At 40.8% G+C, this 18,327-nt stretch overlaps 2 long non-coding RNA genes across 2 annotated transcripts in view, besides 2 other annotated features; one reads left to right on the top strand and one right to left on the bottom strand.

The window, feature by feature from the left end:
* The window catches only part of LOC124902246 (uncharacterized), a 38,529-nt gene extending 32,797 nt beyond the window's left edge, over positions 1-5,732 (bottom strand). The window contains exon 1 of the long non-coding RNA XR_007061729.1: positions 4,928-5,732. This is a non-coding gene — a long non-coding RNA (uncharacterized LOC124902246). The remainder of the gene's footprint in view (positions 1-4,927) is intronic.
* Positions 642-1,841: an enhancer, noted in NCBI's record as "P300/CBP strongly-dependent group 1 enhancer chr9:113040078-113041277 (GRCh37/hg19 assembly coordinates)". NCBI's record gives its function as "activates an origin of replication core promoter dependent on BRD2, BRD4, P300/CBP, MED14 and CDK7 cofactors, with strong dependence on P300/CBP, by STARR-seq in HCT116 cells {active_cell/tissue: HCT116}" and the evidence as "EXISTENCE:reporter gene assay evidence [ECO:0000049][PMID:35650434]".
* LOC107987114 (uncharacterized) lies at positions 2,263-16,733 on the top strand. The gene is made up of 3 exons (XR_001746890.1): positions 2,263-2,382; positions 8,160-8,357; positions 16,661-16,733. It is a non-coding gene; the product is annotated as an uncharacterized LOC107987114 (long non-coding RNA).
* Positions 5,710-5,879: an enhancer, noted in NCBI's record as "experimental_104724 CRE fragment used in MPRA reporter constructs". NCBI's record gives its function as "activates a minimal promoter by MPRAs in K562 erythroleukemia cells, with activity observed for both the introgressed and non-introgressed 9:113036125 variant alleles {active_cell/tissue: K562}" and the evidence as "EXISTENCE:reporter gene assay evidence [ECO:0000049][PMID:34662402]".
* Positions 16,734-18,327: the final 1,594 nt, after the last annotated feature.

Genomic DNA, 18,327 nt, shown 5'->3' with positions numbered 1-18,327 from the left:
TTGATTACAATACACACCATGTACTACAATGAAAAACAATCCTGTTACATTAGAATCCAATGCTTACTCAGACTTTTTCCATACAAAACTACCATCTGTTCCAGCAATAGGACTGGTGAAGCCGCATTTCCTAGAGAAATGCTCCACTGTGCATGCCTCATCTAACTCCCAGCTCCATCTTGGAGACTTTCTTCCATGCTGTTGGCACCCATTCTGCAAGATGATCTGAACAGCAGGTGTCAACAGAAGGTTTCAGACAAGAACCAGGAACATATAAACAACAAGTAACCCAACACATGCCGTATCAGCAATGTTCATAATTCACCTGAACTGCTGAAAATATGAACAGCTCTGGCCAAGTGCAACACCCCCAGTATCTCCATCGGCACTTCCACTCTACTGACAGTAATAATAAGAGACCATGGCTTGTAAGATGCATCTCAATTTCAGAAAAGTTAAGATATGAAAATAGTAAATTTATGAACTACGGTAGATCTTAGGTTGTTGTGAGAATTAAGTACATTAAAGTATATAAATTTTATATATTCAAAATTTGGGATCCATGGAGAGTTCCTTTGGGCACAATCTGTTCCTGTGAAACCTTAAACATACAATAACAAATCATCATTATCTCCAAGCAGATATTACTGCCTCTGCCAGGCAGTCTTCCACCAAGTGTCCTCTCTCTTGGCACCTCTAGAAGGATCAAGCCAACTGATGTCTCCCCTAAACACTCAGCACAGCTATCGGAGAAATCTATTCTCTTTTTTTTTTTAGTTTCTTTTTTCAGACAAAGTCTCTCTCTGTCACCCAGGCTGGAGTGCAGTGGTGCCATCTCAACTCACTGCAACCTCTGCCTCCGGGGTTCAAGCAATTCTCCTGCCTCAGCCTCCCGAGTAGCTGGGACTACAGGTATGTGCCACCGCAACCAGCTAATTCTTGTGTTTTTAGTGGAGAAGAGGTTTCACCATGTTGGCCAAGCTGGTCTCAAACTCCTGACCTTAGGTGATCCACCCACCTCGGCCTCCCAAAGTGCTGAGATTACAAGCATGAGCCACCACGCCTGGCTAGATGAATCTATTCTTTCATTCTGTGTAGTAATGGAAACAATTTGGAGACTGGAGACATTCAGGCTTGTTCAGTTGTGCAGTGGTGGGATTACAACTGCCCACTAGAATATCGGTGCCATCAAGGAAGGAATTTTCACCTGCTTATTCACTGTCATATCCTCAGTGCCCAGAAGTGTGGCTGGCACTTGGCACCAACTGCATAAAGTTGAATGAATGATAGAATAATTTCATTATATTTGCTAGAGTTAATAATGGTGGGCTGAGATAATTCACACTGTAGAGGATATGATTCATAGCTGAGTCAAATGTAAAAAAGTCTTTGATCTTTAGTCTCTCCTTTTCCATGGAAGCCTTTAAAATATCCCAGTTTTATGGGACAATCTTAGTGGAAATAAACTTAGTAAGTTGAAATTACATAATTAATTATATACTATGTCAATTATAATTACTTATTGATCCAAGGCTCATCATGGATCACCTGGCAACAGTGAACAACAACAACAAAAAAAAGTAGCAGGTGTTTGGACTTAGTTCGTGCTTGCTCATTCATTAGATGAGGATTCCCACCCCCCACCCCCACCGCCCACCTGGAAATCCTAAGCAGTTTTATTTGGCTCAGAAATTGAAAGCTGCAATCCAAGGGCTTCAGACACCTCTGTTTCTCTTTCTGGCTTCTGGCCTGGAAGATATTTTATTGTTAAGCTGCTTTTCCATATATCTAATCCTATTTATTAGAAGTTGATTTTATATTTTAAGTTTCAGTCTTCTAATGATGCAGTTTTACACAATGGATAAAAAACACAGACTGAAGTCAGCCTCTCACAGCTTGGATCGCAGCTCCATAATTTACTAGCTGTGTGACACTGAGCACATTACTTAACCTTTCTGTGCTTTAGTTTCAGAATCTGTAAAATAGGAATAAATATAGTACTTACATTACTAGATTGTAATGAGGATTAAACAAATAAGCAATGCCTTCAACACACTAAGTGTCACATAACTGGTAAATGAATAAATAAATAAAATACACTTCGGTTCCCAAAAAGCTTTTCTTAACAATTGATTATATGATAGTTTAGGCATGTGATAGAAGTTACTATAAACAGGTTTATATCAGACTTGTATTTGCACGTCTAGTGAAAACATAAATGTAGCTCCTACATGAAGGCTTGATTTTTTTTCACAGACTGTTCTGGTGGAGTATGGTCTAAGGTCTTTGGTGGCATACGACAGAAACTCACACTGGCTACCTTAAGCAAAGCCATTAGAGGGGCTGGCTAGAATCAAGCTACACAGAAAGAACAGGAATCAGGTATTTCCATTTCTGGGGATTTCAAGAACAGGGATCCATGGCGAGTTCGTTTGGGAATAATCCCAAGAAGATTTTCCCTCTTGCATCACTCCCTTGGAGATCTAAAATCTGTGAGAAATCACACGCCCACCTTCGGGGCTAATGGTTGAGAGCAGATGTGTGACCTGGGTGGCTGGTCCCAACAGGATTGCAGGGCATGAAGGAGAGAGTTATACAAAGGAAAAGCAGAATGCTATTCTCAAAGAAGTGGGGAAAGTTGCTAGGCAGGCCAAAGTAGCAGCTGTCCACCATATGAAGAAAAACGGAGGGAGGGCAGTGTTCTCTAAAATCCTGTTTATGTTTGCACTGTAGGCCTTTCCAAAAATTTAAATATGTTTCTCTCCTCAGAGGGTACTCCCTGAGAGGCTGTCTCATGCTCTTCATCCTCCAAGCCTTCATGCAAAAAGAGCAAGAATCTGGCAATCATCATAAATTGCTTTCTCTGGCCTAATGAAGCAGATCTCCAGTTGTTTGTGTTGCATTAATTTAAATACTAATCTTTGAAATACAGTTTCATAATATCAATAATTTCTAGTTCAACCAAAACAACATTATGCTATACTTTCAGATTTCAGCAAATGATAAGGTTACAAAAGCACTTCACATATTCATGAATCTTCTTTTTAGTTGGGTTGGTTTTGGCTGTAAGTACCAGAACACACAACTTGAAGTTGCTTAAGCCAAATAAAAATGAACCTGTGCACATAACTGGATATCCAGATGGAGAACAGCCTTCAGGGAACTTAATCCAGTAGTCCCAGCTCCACACCTGAGCAACTACCAGGATGCTTTCTGCCCTTGTTTTCTCTCTGTGTTCATCTCTGGCTGGAAGCAGGATGGCTACAAAATTTCTAGACCTCGCCACTACACACAAAAATATCTGGATGAAGATAAGATCATTTCTTTTCTTATTACTATTATAAATAGAGATGGGGGTCTCACCTTGTTGTCCAGGCTGGTCTCTTAAGTCCTGGGCTCAAGCCATCTGCCCGCCTCGGCTTCCCAAAGTTTTGAAATTACAGGCGTGAGCCACCACACCTGGTCAAGATCGTTTCTTTATTCGGGTATCAGGAATAAGGTAACTTTCCCTGGAATCCTCCAGCAAACCTTCCTCTCATCTCATTGGCCCAGATTGGGTCATGTGCTCAGTCTTAAAATAACCCAGTGGCCACGGCAGTGTCATCTGCTAACTGGCTTGATGAAATTTTATTTTATTTTTTCTTTTCCTTTTCTTTTACTTTTGAGACAGAGTCTCGCTCTGTTGCCTAGGCTGGAGTGCAGTGGCGCAATCCGGGCTCATTGCAACCTCTGCCTCCCAGGTTCAAGTGATTCTCCTGCCTCACCCTCCCAAGTAGCTGGGACTACAGGCGTTTATTACCACCACCACACCTGGCTAATTTTTGTATGTTTAGTAGAGACGGGGTTTCACCATGTTGCCCAGGCTGGTCTCGAACCCCTGACTTCAGGCGATCTGCCGTTCTTGGCCTCCCAAAGTGCTGGGATTACAGGCATGAGCCACTGCTCCCGGCCTTGCTAACTGGCTTAGATGTGGGTTCTTGAACCAGTCACTGACAAACACACACACACACCCACACACACACACACACACACACAAATCATGCCTGGCCCCCACTCACAGGCCACTAGACAGTAAAAAAGAGGAGGGATATATGTTAAAGAGAAAATAGGATAGGCATTTGTCTTCCCCACCAGTGCTCCAATATCTGGACCTCACTGCTGCCCACCCCCATGTTTGAGAAATTTAAGATTCAGTAGAAGACAGGGGCCACTTCCCACCAACAATGCTGAAGACACCATGAGCTTTCTGCTCCCTCGAATCAGGGGCTTGTAGCAGAGGCTACACCGATCACACATACCTGACTCAGGTTCTTTTCAGAACCCATGATGCAAAGAGCCAGGAACCACCTGGAAAATCCATTTGAGTGGCAGGTGGTGGCTAGTTTACACGGACAGCCGTGGCAGTAGCAATGGGACATCCAGTACGGGGTTACCAGATTTAACATGAAAATACAAGAGGTCCAGTTAAATCTGAATTTCAGATAAACAACTTTTTCTTTTTTTTTTTTTTTTTGAGATGGAGTCTCGCTCTGTCCCCCAGGCTGGAATGCAGTAGTACCATACCAGCTCACTGCAATCTCCACCTCCCAGGTTCAAGCGATTCTCCTGCCTCAGCCTCCCAAGTAGCTGAGATTATAGGGACCCACCACCACGCCCAGCTATAGAGACAGGGTTTCACCATGTTGGCTAGGCTGTTGTCAAACTCCCAAGCTCAAGCAATTCACCCACCTTGGCCTCCCAAAGTGCCAAGAAATCCACCCACCTGGGCCTCCCAAAGTACTAGGATTACAGGCGTGAGCCACCATGTCCAGCCTAAGAACAAATATTTTTAGTATAATTTTAGTATGAGTATGCCTGATATATTGTGTGGAACCTATTTATGTTCAGAAATATATCATTTATTTAAAATTCCAATATAACTAGGTACCTTGTATTTTGTCTGACAACCCTTATCCAATGGCATCCAGTTTCTGGTAGCAGCAGAGTGTTGAGTGGTGAAGGTAGGAGAGCCCTCATCAGACTGGGTTTATCAGGCATCTTCCAGGCTGCTAAATACCTTCCTGTCTTCTGCTTGGTTTCCAAGCCTACTTCTGCATCATTACCAGAAATTCTGTGAGAATAAATCATACAACGTAAGCTTCAGTTGTCTGCAACTATAAACCCTGGTCATACGAAACTCAACATCCTCTACAAAAACGTGAACCTGTCTTCTAGCACTGAGATCTGTATAAAACACAAAGTGGGGGAAATTTTTGTTTTAAAGCATAAGTAGCATGGTGGAGCCTTCTAAAGTCTGGGCCTCAGGAGAACCAGGTTGTTTGCAAGTTTCTGCTTTGTCAGTGGTTGAAGGAAACTCATGCAATGCTTCCTGCTTCAACTAAGCTAAATGTAAAATGAAAACAATTCTGGAACACTAGATGACTTAAAAATCAAGGATTGTAAAATTCGGGAATAGACGAAACCTTTCCCTTACTAGGAGTGTTCCTTTTCCTTTAGCTCTCTCAACTAATACAACTAAATTCTTCCAATAAATAATAATCTCATTATTATTAAGTTTAAGACTATGAATACATTGAAAACCTGTAGTGTGAAAAGCATTGTTTATATTTTTGGCTCCTAAATCATATTGCCTTCCTGTTAACTGTCTTACTGTCCCAGAATAATGTATCTTCGTGGTTTTTAATTCCCTTTGGATGGAGGGATGATGCTAATTTACCAGTTGTCATGGAATGGTGTGATTAAGCAATTTAATTAACTAATGGCTGGCAGACTGGAAATACCGTCCTTCTGTCTTCTCTAGATCATGAAGGAAGCATGTTGGTTCTTGATCATGAAATTAGCCACCTAGCACGCATGCCAGGGATTGGTAGGTCTCTTGAGCTAGTGGCTTATTAAGTGAAAATAAAGGTTGTTTGCTGAGATTGAGTGGTGCTTCTAAGGTGGACACAGCCTCTCTAGACTCTTCCAGCTTCATCGCCTCACAGCTGGAGCTGCTGACATGGCTCTAGAAACCAAATCTGAGGCAAAGATTCTCCCATTGAGAACTTCAAATATGAACAGGCTGCTAAAGTATATATAGGTGGAGGGTTGTTTTTCCACCCAGCATCCATCCTTCTTTTCTCACACAGCTTGATTTCCTTACACAAAATATTGCTCCCAAACTATGGGAAAGTTTAAAGAAACAGTAAAACCAAAGCCTGCCTTTGCAGGTTTCTCTGAAGCCTCTTTATGCAGGATGCTACAGAATCTTTGAATCTGCAGAATTGCCTCCAGCCTAGTCAAAGTGGAGGAGCAAGTGACCAAGGCATGGTACAACATGTGGCCATAGTGACATATGTCACCAGTAACATAGTGACTGATCCACTCAATTAGAGTCAATGGGACACAAATAAAACTTGGGCTGGGACTTCTGGGAAAAAAAACAAAAAAAATTTTTGCTCTTTTTTTCACTGGATTTGAAGTGATAGAAAGTTAGGTTTGGAACTACAGCAACCAAACTGCTACCACAATGAAGAAGCTTGGCTGAAAACAGGACAAATCAGAGAATGTGGAACAAAAAGACAAAAGAAAGACTAGGTCTTGGTAACATGACCTACTTCATCAAGCCATCACTGCAGCCAGACAGTAATCCCCTTTTTGAAATCCCCTTTCTAGGTCAGTTTGGTTTCTGGTCTTGGAAAAGAGAGTTCTAACTGATACCATTGGCTTTCCCCCACGTGTAAGGATGAGGCTGTCCAGAATGAATGGTCACAGCCAGGCTCGGGCCAAGGCCTTAGACTTCTGGATGACGATTAGGCCATCTTATTTAGGATCTCCTGCTAAGGTAGCATATAATTTCAGGCAATCACTTCACATGAGTGTCTCTGTCTCCTTCCCTGCGAAAGGAAATACTCCTACTTGCCCTAGAGACCCGCATGGTCATAGTGGGGATAGCAATGTGCAAGGAGCAGGTAGGGAAGAGCACTCGGTACAACAGGATTCTGTTCTAAGGTAGTATTCTTGTATTTGCTTCCCAAGCAGCCTGGGAAGCTTTACCAAAAGGAGTAGCTTCATTGTTTTTGTTTTTCCTAAAGGGCATGATTTGTTCCAAAATCAGAGTGTTTACAAGACAAATTACCTTTGAATTCATTCACCTTGAAGTTCATTTTTTGCTTCATATTTAAGTTTTTTGTGGTCAAATCATATTTTCCACTAAGAGCTCATGGTTTGTTTTGAAGGAGGAATGGTTAAAAGCTAAATATATCTGTTTGAGTTCTATGAATAATTTAGATACTAATGTTCAACAAGTGTTATTTCACAAAACTACACCCTCAATGTAGGATTAAATTGACCCGCTGGTTTGTTTATTTTTCTTGGGAGGGAGGGGCAGTGCTAGATTATGTTTTGGTTAATCATATTTCTCCAGAGAAGCTGACAATTTCAAAATGTGTGTCTTGAAAAAATGACTAAATGTGAATAACACTACATTTTTTTGTAAATTACAAAAGTGATAAATATCCTATAATTTGCAAAGGTGATACTGAAGGAGAGAAAAATCTCGATGTCTTCACAATTGTTTAAGAATTGTGTTAACAAGGCGAGGCACGGTGGCTCATGCCTGTAATCCCAGCACTTTGGGAGGCTGAGGCAGGTGGATCACTTGAGGTCAGGAGTTCAAGACCAGCCTGGCCAGCATGGCAAAACCCCATCTCTACCAAAAATACAAAAATTAGCTAGGCGTGGTGGTGCACGCCTATAATCCCAGCTACTTGGGAGGCTGAGGTGGGAGGATCACTTGAACCTGGGAAGTGGAGGTTGCAGTGAGCTGTGATCATGCCACTGCACTCCAGCTTGGGTGACAGAGCGAGACTCTGTCTTAAAAAGAATTAAAAAAAAAATTGTGTTAACAACGTGCCTGGTACCATAAAACAACCCTTTTTACTATTATACAAAGTAGTAGTTTGTGAAATCAAAAAACAAACAAACAAACAGAAAAAGGCCTGAAGTAAATAGAGATGAAACTCTATGCCTCAGTCCTTGTATTTCTACAAGAAAATGTTGGCTCCCAAGAAGGTCTGATTATAGCTGCACATCTAAACTTGTTCTCCAACCCAGTGCTTTTAAGAATAAAGCTGATATTTTTATCTCTGTCCAGTCTGACCCTTGTGTTTTCTTCCTAGTTGATTCCAAACTCATGAAAGGAGGCTGGGGTGTGATCACATACCTCTTATAAAGCCCCCAAAGGGGGAAAGTGCTTGGAGAGATGACCTGAGGGAAGCCTGGTGTGCCTGGAGATACAGTGAGTGCAGGTGGAAAGCAGAATGAGATGAGTTCATGGGATAGATGGAGACCAGATCATACATGGTCTTGTGGCCATGGTAAGTATTAGTTTCATTCAGAGCCAATGAAAAAAACATTGAAAGGTTTCAAGTAGAGGAGTGACATATGAAGATTTTCATATAGTTGTGTAAAGAAAGGCTTATAGGGGATCAAACATAGTAGAAGGGAGATGAGTTACGAGAGTATGGCTGTGGTCCAGGTAAGAGATGAGGTAATGTTGTTAAAGCCCAATAGGTTCTTCTTGCCCACTGCACAGATAAAGCCAATACACTGAGATAGCAGAGAAATAATTTAATTATCGCAAGGCAGCTGAGCAGGAGGACAGGAGAGGTTTCCCAAATCCGCCTTCCTGAGGGCTCAGAGGCTAGGGTTTTTAAGGATAGATTGGTGGGTAGAGGGTTAGGAAATGGGAAATGTTGTTTGGCTGGGGCAGGAATGAAATCATAGGCACTGAGTTCATTCCTAGGTGGGGGTGACCAGACAGGTGGTATCATTTGTTCCATCAGAATGCAAAGTCTGAAAAATATCTCCAACACCAGTCTTGGGTTTTACAAGAGTGACGTTATCTATAGGAGCAAGTAGGGAAGTTTTAAATCTTTTGAACACCAGCTACATGACTCCTGAGCAGTAAGCACATTAGGAAACCATGACTAGTTATCATTTAACTATGCATAGGTGTTACAGAATTCAGGCCCCTCCCAAAATTCTAATTTTGTGGACTCTATTAGTTTTACAAAGGTGGTTTTGGTCCCCAAACAAGGAGGGGAATAGTTTTGGGAAGCAGCTATTATCATCCTTGCTTTAAGGTTAAACTATAAACTAAATTCCTCCCATAGTTAGCTTGGCCTATGCCCGGGAATGAGCAAGGGCAGTTATCTTCTGAGGTTAGAAGCAAGATTAAGTCAGTTATGTTAGATTTCTCTCAATGTCATAATTTTTGCAAAGGCAGTTCCAGTCTGACTCAGGGCAGTAGTAGTGGAATTTGAAATTAAGAAATGTGGATTAGGTGAAAATATTTTTTGGAGTTGAATTAGTACAATATATTCCTGTGTTATGTCTAGCAGATACTATTGGTTTTTGCCCCACCAAAATCCAGTCTTCTTTTTCTACAGTACACAGAACTCATGCTTTTTACCTGGGCACTTGGCTATCTAGAACAAAGATTCTATTTCCCAGCCTCTTGTAGCTTGATGGGGCCATGTAATTAAGTGTTTGTTTGTTTGAGATGGAGTCTCACTCTGTCGCCCAGGCTGGAGTGCAATGGTGTGGTCTCGGCTCACTGCAAACTCCGTCTCCCGGGTTCAAGCGACTCTTCGACCTCAGCCTCCCGAGTAGCTGGGACTACAGGTGCATGCCACCACACCCGGGTAATTTTTGTATTTTTAGTAGAGACGGGGTTTCACCGTATTGGCCAGGCTGGTCTTGAACTCCTGACCTCATGATCCGCCCGCCTTGGCCTCCCAAAGTGTTGGGATTACAGGTGTGAGCCACTGCACCTGGCCCTTAAGTTTTAATCAATGATAGGGATATAATATGTGCAACCACTGGGACATATTCCTAAAGATAGAGGGAATGCCCTCCTTTTCTCTTCCCCCATCCTGATGCTTAGAACATGGGCTTTATGGCTAGAGCTGTCTCCTGAGCCATGAAAATAAGGACTAGAGTAGATTGCTTACAAAGATGGTCCCAGTGATTCATCTAATATTTACAGGTCAGCACCTTTGCAATATAACTGTGATACTTCTTGAATAAAGAGATGTAGTCTATTTCCCCATCCCTTGAAACTGGATAGGCCTTGTGACTTTTTCTGACCAGTAGGTACAGCAGAAGTAATATTGTAGGACTTACAAATCTAGACCCCAAGAAAGCTTGTAGCTTCCATTCTCACCCTCTTCAAACACTGCCCTGAAAAGAAGCTCAGTCTAACCTACTGGAGGATGAAAGGCCATGTGGAGGGGACCCAAGTGCCCAGCCGTGAGCCACCAGGAACTACTCCATACAAAACTAGATTCTTTAAAAATTTAATTTTCTGATTTTATTTATTTATTTATTTTTGAGAAGGAGTTTTGCTCTTGTTCTCCAGGCTGGAGTACAATGGCATGATCTCAGCTCACTGCAACCTCCACCTCCCGGGTTTAAGCGATTCTCCTGTCTCAGCCTTCTGAGATTACAGGGATTACAGGAGCCCGCCACCACACCCGGCTAATTTTTGTATTTTTAGTAGAGATGGGGTTTCACCATGTTGGCCAGGCTGGTCTCGAACTCCTGACCTCAGGCGATCCACCTACCTCAGCCTCCCAAAGTGTGGGGATTACAGGCATAAGCCACTGTGCCCGGCCAATTTTCTGGTTTTATTATTTAAAAGTTACCAGACTTGGAAGTTTACAATGAATCAATATAAAAGCTCTTACATTTGAACTTTTTTTTCCAAAAATCAAAAGACGAGCAAACCAGAACTAAATCAAGATTGAAAATTGCCAAAGTGATTTTTTCCCTTTCTCCTTACTTTATTTATTTGTTTGTTAGTTTATACAGCATCTTGCTCTGTTGCCAAGGTTGGAGCATAGTGGCCCAATTGCAGCTCACTGCAAGCTCCCCCTCCTAGGCTCAAATGATCCTCCCACCTCAGCCTCCCAAAGTGCTGGGATTACTTATAGATGTGAGCCATTGAACCGGACCTCTCCTTACTTTAAATACCTTATCTTTAGGGCATTCATGCTTCTTATCTATTTGACTACAGTCAAGTTTGATCACTATAGAAGTTAAGCCATGATGGAGAACAAAATTGGTGGTTTAAACACAATTCAAATAATATCAGATTTCGTACAGTCATTTTAGCCAGAATGCTTTCAATTGATCAAAAGTTCTTCCTTTTTGCCATTAAAGCTTTACATTTCCTATTAAATATTTCCTAATTTTTTGGTCTGGAGAGTGTTTTTGCAAACCACCAATTGTGAACTCTCAGAAACATTTCTGTTAGCTCAATAAATTTATAGCATCTTTTTATGAATTAGGCTTTCCAAGCGCTTTATTGGAGTAAAGGCATCATTTATTAGCAAAGCAAAGAGGACCTCATATCTGGCAAAAGTTACTTACATTTTTTAATCATGTTGTCTCTTCTATTTCCCTTTGCTGATAAAGGTTCTTATTCAAGCACTGACCCTGTTTCCTTAGGAGGAGGGTTATGATAGAACATATGCTTTATAAACACACCAATTTACAATGATAAAAGCTCAAGGCCAATACAACATAAAAATCCAGTGATAACATGTTACATCTTGGCATATGCCACCTTGACTGTACCCTCAAAGTTGCCAACATCAAGAACAATTTTGAGTCAGCCAGGCACAGTTTTGGTGGCACACACCTATATTCCCAGCACTTTAAGAGGCCAAGGCAGGAGGATCACTTAAGCCCAGGAGTTTGAGACCAGCCCGGGCAAATAGTGAAATCCCATCTCTACAAAAAATACAAAAATTATCCGGGCGTGGTGATGTGTGCCTGTGGTCCCAGCTACTCCAGAGGCTAAGGTAAGAGGATTGCTTGAGCCCGGGAGGCAGAGGTTGCAGTGAGCCGAGATTGCACCACTGCACTCCAGCCTGAGCGGCACAGCAAAACCCTGTCTCAAATAATAATAATAATAAATTTTTAAAAAGAAAATGTGTGAATGTACTTGGAGCATTTAATGACTTTTGCAGTCAAGTGATTTTTGAATGGTTCTAAGGTTAGACATCCTTGACAACCATGCATTTTAATGGCACTTTTACATTTGTTTATGTCTAAAAGATCCAATCATGTAAAAAGTCTTTTTTGGGATCAGTCTCTTTTCCTTAAAGTTTATCTGTTCATGGCCGGGCGCGGTGGCTCACGCCTGTAATCCCAGCACTTTGGGAGGCTGAGGCGGGCGGATCACGAGGTCAGGAAATCGAGACCATCCTGGCTAACATGGTGAAACCCCGTCTCTACTAAAAATACAAAAAATTAGCTGGGTGCGGTGGCGGGCGCCTGTAGTCCCAGCTGCTAGGGAGGCTGAGGCAGGAGAATGGCGTGAACCTGGGAGGCAGAGCTTGCAGTGAGCCGAGATAGTGCCACTGGAGTCCTGCCTGGGCGAAAGAGCGAGGCTCTGTCTCAAAAAAAATAAAATAAAAAAAAGTTTATCTGTTCATAAAAATAATCGTGCATGATTGCATTGTTCATAGAGTGCTACAGAAAGATTCAGAACACCAACACCCATATGGGTAAGGAGCAGATTAGAAATATACACTTACTGGTTAGTAGACATAGATAAGCAAGTTGTCCTCCCACCACAGCCAGGCTGTCTCTTGGCTTTAGACCAGTTGTTAATGGTACTGGGCAAAGATATTCTTCTGGTATTCACTCCTTTAGGAGTGATAAGGTTTCCAAAGTATGATTACAAGGAACTGGTCTCACCTGGCTTCTATGGGAAAGGTTTCTCTTTCTTTTTCCTTTTTCTTCTCTCTTCTTTCTCTCTCTCTTTTTTATTACAATTTGCAAAGCATATTTATTTACATTAGATTATTTGGTAAAGGCAGAATAGATATCCTTATCCTTATTTTTAACAGTTCAGTAGTTTTTAGCATATTCCCAAAGTTATGCAACTATCACCATTATCCAATTCTAGGATTTTTTTTTTTTTTTTTTTTTTTTGAGACTGAGTCTCGCCCTGTCGCCCAGGCTGGAATGCAGTGGCGCCATCTCGGCTCACTGCAACCTCCGCCTCCCAGGTTCAAGCAATTCTCCTGCCCAGCCTCCCAAGTAACTGGGATTACAGGCGCATGCCACCCCGCCCAGCTAATTTTTGTATTTTTAGTGTTTTTGTATTTTAATAATTTTTGTATTTTTAGCCCGGCTAATTTTTGTATTTTTGTATTTTTAGTAAAGATGGGGTTTCACCAGTTTGAGCTGGTCTCAAACTCCTGACCTCATGATCTGCCCGCCTCAGCCTCCCGAAGTGCTGGGATTACAGGCACACCTGGCCCAATTCTAGAATATTTTCAAGGCCTCAAAAAGAATCTGCTACCATACCATTACTAGTCACTACCCATTCTCACGTCCCCTGGTTTCTGGACCACTAATGTATTTACTGACTCTCTGGATTTGCCTATTCTGGACATTTCATACAAATGTGGCCTTTTCTGTGTGGTTCATCATGTTGTGGCACATGTCGGAACTTTATTCCACTTTATGGCTGAATAATATTCCATCATATGAATATATGACCTTTTGTTATCCATTCATTAGTTAATAAACATTTGGGTTGTTTCTATCAAGGCTGTTAAGAATAATGCTCCTATGAACACTCACATGCAAGTGTTTGTGTATACGTGTGTTCAACTTTGTTGGATATATACAGAACAGAATTGTTAGATCATATGGTAACTGTGTTTAACTTATTGAGGAACTATCAAACTCTTCCACAGAGCTGCACCATTCTTCAGTCCCACTAGCGATATATGAGAGCTCTAATTTCTCCAGATCCTTACCAATACTTGTTATTGTCTGTATTTTTTATTATAGCCATCTTAGTGGGTGCAAAATATCTCATTGTATTTTTTTTTCTTTCCTTCAACTTTTAAGTTCCAGGGTACATGTACAGGATCTCATTGTAGTTTTTATTTGCACTTTCCTAATGTTGACCTTATTTTCATGTGCTTATTGTCCATTTGTATATCTTCTTTGGATAAATGCCTATTCAAATCCTTTGCCTATTTTTAAGATGGGTTATCTTTTTATTTTTAAATCCTAAGAGTTCTCTATGTATTCTAGATGCAAGTCCCTTATCGGATATGACTTATAAATATGTTCTCCCACACTGTGGGTTTTTTCACTTTCTTCTTCTTTTTTTTTTTTGAGACCGAGTCTCACTCTGTTGCCCAGGCTGGAGTGCAGTGGTACATACAATCTTGGTTCACCACAACCGCCACCTACCGGGTTCAAGCGATTCTCCTGCCTCAGGCTCCCGAGTAGCTGGGACTACAGGTACACACCACCATACCCAGCTAATTTTGGTATTTTTAGTAGAGATGGGTTTCACTATGTTGGCCAGGCTGGTCTTGAACTCATGACCTCGTGATCTGCCTGTCTCAGCCTCCCAAAGTGCTGGGATTACAGGCGTGAACCACCTTGCCCAGCCCTTTTTTTTTTTACTTTTCTACAGTAGAATCAATCTTTTTATTTTCTTGATGGTGTCTTTTGAAACACAATTTTTTTAAAATTTTGAATAAGTCTAATTTTATCTATTTTTTATGTGGTTGTTCTTTTGGGTTCATATCTAAGAAATCATTGCCTAATCCAAGGTCATAAAAATTTACACCTGTATTTCCTTTTAAAGAGTTTTAATTTTATGTATTTGATCCATTTTGAGTTCATTTCTGTTACTGGTGTGAGACAGGACCCAATTTCATTCTCTTGCATGTCTATGTACAGCTGTCCTAGCATCATCTGTTGAAAAGACTCTGCTTTCCCCACTGAATGATCTTGTACCTTTGTTAAGGTCAATTGACTATAGATTTATGGGTTTATTTCTGGACTCTCAATTCTATTATGTCTGTCTTATGCTAGTACCATACTGCCGTTTTTTGTTTGTTTGGTTTGTTTTTATTTTTATGGATACATAATAGTTGTGCATTAATACCATACTGTTTTGATTACTGTAGCTTTGTAGTAAGTGTTGAAATCAAGAAGTGTAAGTTCTTCAACTTTGTTCTTCTTCAAGATTGTTTTTGGCTATTCTGTGCCCCTTACATTTCCATATAAATTTTACAATCAGCTTGTCAACTTCAGCAAAAAAAAAAAAAAAAAAAAGCACCTGAGATTTTTGATAAGAATTATGTTGAATCTGTAGGTCAACTTGGAGCGTACTGCCATCTTAACAATATTGTCTTCCAGTCCATAAACATGAGATGTATTTCCATTTATTTAACTCTTTAATTTCTTTTTCCTTTTTTTTTTTTTTTTTTTTTGAGTCAAGGTCTTACTCTCACAGGGTCTCAGGCTGGAGTGCAGTGGTGCAATCTTGGCTCAGTGCAACCTCCGCCTCCCGAGTAGCTGGGACTTCAGGCACCCACTACCATGCTCAGCATTTTTTTTTTTTTTTGAGACGGAGTCTCAGAGTCTCACTCTGTCACCCAGGCTGGAGTGCAGTGGTGCGATCTCGGCTCACTGCAACCTCCACCTCCCAGGTTCAAGCAATTCTCCTACCTCAGCCTCCTGAGTAGCTGGGACTACAGGCGCACGCCACCACGCCGGCTAATTTTTTGTATTTTAGTAGAGACAGGGTTTCACCATGTTGCCCAGGCTGGTCTCGAGCTCCTAAGCTCAGGCAATCCACCCACCTTGGCCTCCCAAAGTGCTAGGATTATAGGCATGAGCCACCGCGCCCGGCCTTGGCTAATTTTTGTATGCTTTTGTAGAGACGGAGTTTCACCATGTTGCTCAGGCTGGTCTCGAACTCCTGAGTTCAAGCAATCCACTCTCCTCAGCCTCCCAAAAAGCTAGGATTACAGGGATGAGCCACCATGCCCAGGAACTCTTTATTTCTTTCAACAACGTTTTATAGTTTTTGCTGTATAAGCCTTGTACTTCCTTTATTAAATTTATACCAAAATCATTATTTTTTAATTTTATATATTTAGTTTATATCCTGCATCCTTGCTGAACTTGTTTATTAGTTATAATAGTTTTCAAGTTCCTTAAGATCTTCTATATACACCAAGAAACCATTGATTTTACTTTCTGTCACTATAGACTTGCCTGTTCTAGAACTTCATATGAATGAATTCATTTAATCCTTAGTGTCTGGCTTCTTTCACTCATGTCATCTGCAACCGGAGACAGTTTTGCTTCTACTTTTCCAATCTGGATTCCTTTTATTTCTTTTTTTAATTGGATTTTATTTTCTTGTTTTTAGACACGCCCAGGCTGGAGTGCAGTAAAGCAATCTTGGCTCACTACAACCTCCACCTCCCGCCTCCCTGGTTCAAGCGATTCTTGTGCCTTAGCCTCCCAAGTAGCTGGGACTACAGGCATGAGCCACCAAGCGTGGCTAATTTTTGTATTTCTAGTAGAGACGGGGTTTCACCATGTTGGCCAGGCTAGTCTCAAACTCCTGGCTTCAAGTGATCCACCCACCTCGGCCTCCCAAAGTGCTAGGATTACAGGCAGGAGCCAATGCGCCCCGCTAGGATCCCTTTATTTTTCTTGCCCAGTTGCTCTGTTGAGAACTGGTAGCACAACATTGAGTGGAAGTAATGAGAGCAGACATCCCTGTATTTTACCTGATCCTAGCATATAAGGAGGATTCTTACCCTACCTTTCTTAGTTATGTGCAGCTCTTGAAGCATTAATGTGGATGGCTCCATCTCCTTTGTAAAGAGGACAACAAGCTCTTTTTACTTGTATGCTTCCCTCAGTGGTTCTCCACGTCTCAGCATTTAAGGTAAGTTTGGTAGATTACCCAATTAACTTGTCTATGCTTAATATCTGTATCTTATTTGAAGGCTACCATTGCTATAAAAGGCTTATCAACTTTTGCATGCACTTTCACTTAGCCATGCTTAGAATTTTTGTGGCCCAAGTTAGAGCTCTGCTGAAATGTTTCAACTTATCTTTGTTCCCTTACATATTTTTATGTTTTTATGTATTTTAATGTCTTTACAGATGGTTTTTGTGCCTAGACAGGATTATTCAAAGACCACATGTTTTACAGTTTAAATAAACTTTATTGAGGGTATTATTTGTATCCATAATAAAATGTACCTCTTTTTAGTGCATTTTTCCATGAGGTGTAGAAAATGTACGGACCTATGTAATCACCAAAAAGTTTCCCGTGCCTTACTGCAATCCTCCCACCCCAACACCAAGAAACCATTGATTTACTTTCTGTCACTATAGACTTACCTATTCTAGAACTTCATAGGAATGAGTTAATACAATCTTTAGTGTCTGGCTTCTTCCACTCAGTGGTGCTTTTTATATTTACTCATGTTTTTGTGTATATAAGCATTTTGTTCCTTTTTGTTGCTGAGAAGTATTCTATTGTATGGACATATCACATTTATTATTATTTCACCTGTTGGTGAACATTTGGGTTGTTTTTAGTTTAGAGCTATCATGAATAAAGCTGCTCCCAACATTCATATGCAAGTCCTTATATACATGTGTTTTAATTTTTGGAGGGTAAATGCCTAGAAGTGGAATTACTAGGTCATATGGTAAATGTGTGTGTAACTTCATTAAAAACAAAAACAAAAAACAAAACTTGCCAAACTGTTTTTCAAAGTGGGTGTACAATTTTATAATCCTACCAGTGAAGTATGAATTATTTCCAATTAGTCCACAATCTTGCCAGCATGTGGTAGTGTCTGTGTATGTGTGTTTTGTTTTGTTTTAATTTTACCAGCCTAGAGGTCACATAGTGGTATCTTATTATGGTTTTAATTTGAATTGCACTGGTGACGAATGATGTTGAGCAATCCATCTGTTTATGTGCTTACTGGTCATTTATATATCTTCTCTTTCTTTTGAGAAAACGTCCCAGGCTGGAGTGCAGTGGCACCATCTCGGCTCACTGCAACCTCCGCCTCCTGCATTCAAGCGATTCTCCTGCCTCAGCCTCTTGATATATATCTTCTTTTAAGAAGTATGTGTTCAAATCTATTGCCATGTTTTTACTGCTTATTTGTCTTCCCATTATTGAGCTGTAACAGATCCCTATATATTCTGAATGTAGGTCCTTTGTTAGAAGTATGTATTGAGCATACTTTCTTCCAGTCACAGACTGGGAGAAATTTATTTATTCATTTTCATTTATTTTTAAGCAATGGTTTTCAAAGAGCAGAGATTTTTAGTTTTTATAATTTATTCTATTTATTTTTATTTTCTTGAGATGATTCTGTTACCAGTGGAAGAGATCCAAGTTACCCTGAATTATTAGCGGCGATCTGTACACATCTGCAGCAACTTCGTCCTTGCCTCCTCAGAAGAATT

The sequence above is a fragment of the Homo sapiens genome, chromosome 9 (genome assembly GCF_000001405.40).
Source record: "Homo sapiens chromosome 9, GRCh38.p14 Primary Assembly".
Lineage (NCBI taxonomy): Eukaryota > Metazoa > Chordata > Mammalia > Primates > Hominidae > Homo > Homo sapiens.
This window is presented reverse-complemented; position numbering and strand designations above follow the sequence as displayed.